General features: G+C 41.3%; 1 pseudogene, besides 1 other annotated feature; it reads right to left on the reverse strand.

The window, feature by feature from the left end:
- SIGLEC29P (sialic acid binding Ig like lectin 29, pseudogene) lies at nt 391-869 on the reverse strand (annotated as a pseudogene).
- Nucleotides 6898-6957: an enhancer, noted in NCBI's record as "active region_15022". NCBI's record gives its function as "activates an Ori minimal core promoter by ATAC-STARR-seq in GM12878 lymphoblastoid cells {active_cell/tissue: GM12878}" and the evidence as "EXISTENCE:reporter gene assay evidence [ECO:0000049][PMID:35858748]".

Raw genomic sequence — 6996 nt, forward strand, 5'->3', positions numbered from 1 at the left:
GGTCATCTCTGTGGTCACATGAAACCTTGGGAAAGTCACTTGGAAGGTGATACTGGAGCCGTGGCTCCAGGGAAGTGGGATGATGGTGATCTCTGAGAAGTGAGGGGTCCTAGGGCCCAGGGAGATGACAGTTCCCCATGTCCAGGAAAAGATGAGTGACTTTCTGCTTTTCCAGGCTGCTGACACGTAGCAGGTTCGCAGGATGGCCAGATTCCAGAGTTGCTGGGACTTGGATGTCAGGTGTCTGGGTGAGGGCTGGGAAGGAGAGAGGCAAAGACCTGGGACACAGAGAGGGGACTTCCAGGGTGTGAACTCAGAAGCAGCCTCTGTCCCAGCCCCAGGAATGGCTCCCCCATCTGAGCCCTAGGCTCCTGGACACAGCACGCCTACCTATCACGTTCAAAGACAGTGTCTTTTGCTTGAAGCTGAATTTCACGACAGGACCCCTCTCCAACCGAAATAAATACACTCCGCCATCTTTCCTCCTGGTGTCTCTGATGCTCAGGGAACAGATGTCAGTCTGGGGGTCCCCAAGGAAATTGGAAATGGTCCTAGCTTCTCTTTTGCAGCTTCTAGCTGGGTTTGTTTGTGGCCATGGGAGGATCCCAGTGTTCATTGTCCCCTTGCCGGAACCAGAAGACGTAGGGTGGGTCTGAGTGACTCCATCTGTCACTGGGGTAGGAGAAGGAGCAGGGCACCAGGACATACAGGCCCTCCTGCACCATCACCAGCTCTGGAATCTGCAGCTCATACCCCGCGTGGTCCTCCAGCATTTAGGCTTTGACATTGAGCTCCCGCCAACCCTCCCGCCTCTGCCCAGCCCCCTCACCTCCCCACAGCAGGGACAGCAGTAGCAGCAGAGATGGCATCTCTGAGACTGCAAGGGCTGTTTAGAGCCCCCTTCAGGCCATCTGAGGAGCCCTTCCCAGCAGACACCTGGTATCTATTTTGAGTTTTTGCCTCAAACCCTTCCCTCCAACAGAAACACCCAAACCACTTTTGGGGAAGTGAAGGCTTAGCCCAATTCACCGCAGGGCCAAGGACACCCTAGCAGGGAACTTTGTTCCTTTCGCTTCCCCACTCAGACTTCAGATTATGCCCCCTGAAGCCAATTCTTCACCTTCCCTCAGGAGAGCTGTGGATTTGGGGTCATTTTCCCACCATGCAGGGAAGGAGATGCTGGAAGCTGGGTCCCACCTGGGACTGAATCCTCCTATTCCATGCTCCTCTTCAGATCTGGGCACGTCGGGAGCCTTGGGAAGCCCTGGCTGAGCTCTCGAAGTTCTCTGAGCAGGGAAACCCGTGGTGCTAGGGTTGAAGCCTGGGGGCCATGAATGGAGCCCCTGACTTAGGTGGGATATTTGTTGCTTTCTGATGCTTGTTTGGGTTCAGGAAGGAGCCTGGACTTGCCTCACAGACCTTTCTTGGGTTTCTGTGTGAGCTCTGACTTTGCTGTGGGGCTTTTTTTCTTCCAGAAAGAACCCAGGAAGCATTGCCATTTACTGCTCTCACTGCCCTGAACGCCTGCCCTGAACCCCTGCTCTGCCTACCCCTTGGATTTCTTTCTCTTCGCAGGCTCTTGCAGCAGGTCCTGATGCCCCTCCTTCATGCTTTACCCAGTCCTTCATCTGTCCCCACATCCACTAAGACCGCAGCATCTCCCTTCCTCATCCTGCCTCCTCCCAGCAGACATCTGGCCTATGGGCTGCCTTCCTGAAAACTATCTGGCTTGTGGTTACATGAAGCCAGAGTCCACTTGTGGTTATGAGCACACGATTGTCCTGGGCCACATAATGTGTGTTTAGCTTGATCCTAAATGAGTTTCAACCTAACACCCTCATCTGGCCTCTCCTATCTGAGTCTGGATGTCAGCTACCCATCCGTTTGACAGGTATTGAGCACCTTTGACCTGCCCCAGAAGTGGCATCACATTGACCTAAGAAATGGCATCAAGGACAAAGAAAAATGACCACATCAAGACCCTCCTACACAAGAAGACACGGGATGACAGAGAACCAATTCTGCTACTGATAGTGGAGCTATGGTTTCCAGGACGAGAGTAGATGAAGGGGTTTGCCAGCTGCTATAACAGGATCCAGTAAATGGGCTGGCCCTAAGGGGTGAAAGTGCAGATTCCTCCCTCAACCCCTGAGGAGTCTGACTGGCACTTCTGATATTTGGGGCTCAGGAAGTTAAAAACCATAGAAAATATTAATTCCCCATTCATAATATAATTGGCATGTACTATTCCCATATGTGCAAATTAACTCTTCGCTGTGAACATATGCAACTTGGCATTCCACACTCAACCGGCATAGGGGCAGACTAGGAGTCCCATGGAGCTGATGTTCCCAGGAGCACCCCTCAGCCTATGCTGGTGGATAATACCTGGTGTGGGGGTGAGTGAGAAAGATCCCAGTAGAATAGCCTTTCTCCTCCCCACTCCTTCCTCCACCCATGAAGACTATTCTTTATTCAAGAGAGACATGAAATTGGGGCAGAAGTGTGCTGAGAAATATTTAACAACTGGATTTCCAAAAAATACATATTCATAATAAATTTTACTGATATAAAGTATTTGTAGCACACTGTTGAGCACTCAATTTGTCGCTGTTCGGGGTGCCACTATGTAACTCTCATGGACCTAGGGTAACTGAACAAAGGGAGGTGAACGTAGGAATAAAAGACAAGAGACAAAAGAGCATGTTTGGAAGAAGGGGTCAGGGGGCACCTTGCCTCTAGTGGACAAGGGCCCTGAACTTTACACAGCCCTCTGTATTTATTAGGCAAAAGAGATAGCGAGAAGTGGGGTGGAAGAAGAGGTCAGCTGCTTGGTCCAGAGTAGGCTTGCAAGACTGCATTCTCTAGATGTCCCAGTAGATAACTTCAAGGAGCTCGGCGCCAGGAAGCAATGGCCCTCAGCAAACCTTCTGGCAGTGGGAGTAATTGTGAGTTTGCCCACATCCTGCATTCATGATAAACAGTTTGCTGTTTGATCATATAGCCTCCAGTGGAATGCTGAGTTGGTCACGTCCCACGGGCCTTCATCTCCCTGCAGCACGTAACTTTTAAATAATAATAAAATGTACTATACTTTTTATTGTAAATTCTACATAATCAACTGATTCTCACAGAATGTTTTCACTGATTTTTCTGAACTTTTGCAACTTGAGCTAACTTATAATGGCAATTGATGAACAGTACACTGTGTAGTTATGAATGTTGGTTGATATTTTCATTTACATTAAGGAGTAAGATAAAACAGAAATAATGAGATGTATGGTGGGATTTTATTCTTCTGTCAATGACAGGAGTAAACTCTTTGTTTAATCAGATAAGTTTTGGAATATCTACACTAGAAGAATATTTCTGAATTTTTGTGCTATTTACAGTGTAATGACTGCAGATATTAACATCTTTTAAGTTGCATTATTAATATTTTATTCATCACTATATCAAGCGTAGACAATCAATAAAATGATAAATCAAGACTTGATGGATAGTATTTGCCAATTTCTGCAGTGTAAACACTTCTATCATGACTGACTTCAAGCTACAAATGTGACTCGTGTAAAAATATAATTTCTGATTATTTCCGTAGAAGATATTTTTAGCAGAAACTGGATCACCTTTTCAAGAGAAAGTAATATGTTTGCAAGACAAAGATGAGTATTTACAAACTGCTTTCAAAAATGGCTGTAACAGGCCATGCACAGTGGCTCACACCTGTAATCCTAGCACTTTGGGAGGCCAAGATGGAAGGATTGCTTGAGGCCAGGAGTTTGAGAAAACGGCTGAAACAGTGTCCATTTCCCCAATCTTGAATGAGAGTAACCATTGCCTCTCTCGTTTCAGGAATTATTAATTTTTCCAGTTTTGTTAATTGGCAGTTTGGATAGTCATTCTAGACACAAGAATAAAGGAGATCACACTCCTGATTAAAACCTGTCAGTGACCTTCATTCCTCCAGCCAAAGCCCTCAGCCATTTTCCCACATAAACCCTAAGCAGACTAAGAATCTCATTTTCATAGGCTTGGCCAAAGTTTGTCTTCAGGCCACATGCAATTTCCAAGGGCTCCTCTTCCTTTACTTCTGTGGAAGGTGCAATATCAGAATATGAATGAATCAGAATGATGTTCTTAGAATCTTAATATTGGATCCATTTGAACAGATCAGTAATTGAACTTTGGGAAAACTTCAGCACACTTCCTTAGCATACAATTTCTTGTGATGCGAATCACAACTGTTAATTTGTATTTTGCTTTTGAATCCTATATCTCAGAGTGATGAAGTCTCTTTTTACCAGAGGTCTTAGAATAGGTTTGCTTAAAATGAGATATATGAAAGAAAAGGGTCATTTTAGTCAGTGGGCGAGCATTTATCCTTAGCTATAAATGAAGGTGATAAACAGTTTCATTTCTGTATATAGAATGGTCTGTTCAATACTATATTTTTTGGGTAAAGTTTCTTTTAATGCTCTTGGTTGTTTACTTTCTTTGATTTCCAGGAAAAAAAAAACAGGCACAATTGCTATCAGATATTTTGAGGGCAGGCATCTTGTTGAGATCATTATTTAATAAGGCGTTGAGTCATGAAGGCAGTAGACTGGTTTGAAGTTGGCCAGGATGAGAGTTCTTGGCATAGTTTAAAGCAAAGCATTTGAAATTCTGAAGTCCTCATAAGTTGCAAACAGTTGTCTTTATTTTTTGAAGCACTTTAATTTTGAAGCACTTTTATTTAAGTTTCAAGAACCAGAATTGTTTTTCTTTTTCTTTTTTGACTTTCATCTGCACAAGACTTTTTGTCTTTATTTTTTGAAGGCTTTTAATTTTGAAGCTCTTTATTTAAGTTTCAAGAGCCAGAATTCTCTTTCTTTTTATTTTTCTTTTTTGACTTTCATCTACACAAGATATATGAAGATTCATAGTCAGAAAGTTTTGTCTGTCTTCTTGAGGAATAGCCAACTCCAATCTTAAAAAACTCTTCTAGAATGTCATAATCAAATTTTTAAACTTCTAAAGATTAGAATAGATGAAATAAAAAAGCAACCACAGACTGGAAGAAAAATGTTTGTGATATGTATATCTCTAAAAGACTTATTTTTAGAATATATAAAAAATTTTCACAACACAATAATTTTAAAACACAATGAAAAATGGGTGGAAGATTTGAAGAGTTGCTTCAGCAAAGAGGATAAATGAGTGGCCATTCGGCACTTGAAAAAATGCTTGATCTGGGAAATGCAAATTAAAATTACTATGAGATACCACTATGAGATACTCACTAAAACATATTAAATTAAAAAGACTAACAATACTAAGTATTGATAAGGCAGTGGAGCAACTAGAATTACCATGCATATGATAAAAGATAACTATTAAAACACCAACTCTCACCCTAAATAAGGAAAATTCAGGAGCATTCTCATTTGAATCAGAAACAAGACAAGGATGCCCACTGTCACCACTGTTACTTGACATTATTAAAGAGGTTATAGCCAACAAGGTAAAACCAGAAAAATAAGCAAGAAATGTAAAAATTAGAAACTGAGAAATATTTCCAGTATTTGCAGATGATGTTCAAGTTCCCATAGATTTTAATATCATAATCTAATAATAGAGATAAGTCCCATAACTTTTGCCATATTCTGTTGGTAAGAAGCAAATCTCAGGTTCCGTTTGCACTCAAAGGGATGGATTTGTACAAGGTGTGACTCAGTAGGTGTCACCTTAGGGTATGCCTGCCCCACTAAGAGTATGAGGGCGCAGTTACCCCTCATCCTACAGATATACAGATGTCCCAGTGGAGGGACGCCTTAACTTGCCCTGAACATACACATGCGGGGCTGTTGTACTTAAAGCCTCCTACTTCTATCTCAATTTTCACTCTCTGCATTTTCCTTTTTTTAAATAAAATGTACCAAAGCCGTAGGGTAAATCCTATGACACAGTAAAGAATAGTCTCAGATTTATAAGTGGAGAAAATTCAAAAGTTCTAAGTCCGGGGAATTTCTTAGTAACTCAAACAAAATGTCACACTTTCTCACATAATAAAGATAAGTGTTTTTATTGATTTTACACTATTTGCTTACAGTAAATATATAATTGATGTTTTAAAATAAAAGCAGGTTTCATGCTTCATGTAACAAAGTTAGGTTCAGATACTAATGTGAAAACTCAACTATTCCTGGGAAACCATGTTCAAAAAAATGCTTCATTGGCTAAGCAGTCTTATTTTATTATTCAAATGGACTAAAAATGAGGTATGAAGTAATTAAAAGTAATATGGTGGCTTTAAGTGCAGAGATGGGGTGGCAGAAGCTGTGAACACAGAATGTAAAATCGGTAACTACAAAATGGCACAAACTACGAAAGCAATATATTTAAATTACTATTTTTTAAAAAAGAAGGATCATTTCAGATCTTCACCTTCAGATCCTCACTCAGCCCTGCCTCCTATTTCCCATAATCAGCCATTTTTTTAATTTTATGATTGCTATTACTCACCTTCTAGAATATATTTTTGTTTATTTGATTGAACAACCTCTTCCTGAAAATTCTGCCCAGTTGGGCTGGCTGACATTGATCTCAGTAATTGTGTTTTTTTCCTTTAACTTGATTATATTTTTTTCATTCGCCTCTCTTTAAATGAAGTGTCCCAAGAGCCCTAAATTCTCTCTTCAGGTGGTCGCTTGGTAGGTTACTTCATCAATAGGTTCATCCAGGTATAGAGAGCAATGGTGTAAGGATAACAAAGATACAATTTCTCAGAAAGATAACATTTTCAAAAGTGCTATTAAAGACAGTGAGTTGTTCAGCAATTCAGGAAAAAAAAGTCTTTAAATCAGAGGGAAAAATATAGAGAAAAAGTATTTTTCAGAATACATGTCAGTTTCTCCTAGAAATATATATACACAAGTATTGAATAGGTCCCCTGCCAATGTAGGACCCAAGACTTTTACTCTGTGACATTCCATTTGTCCTTGGCTGTACGGA

The sequence above is a fragment of the Homo sapiens genome, chromosome 19 (genome assembly GCF_000001405.40).
Source record: "Homo sapiens chromosome 19, GRCh38.p14 Primary Assembly".
In the NCBI taxonomy this organism is placed as follows: domain Eukaryota; kingdom Metazoa; phylum Chordata; class Mammalia; order Primates; family Hominidae; genus Homo; species Homo sapiens.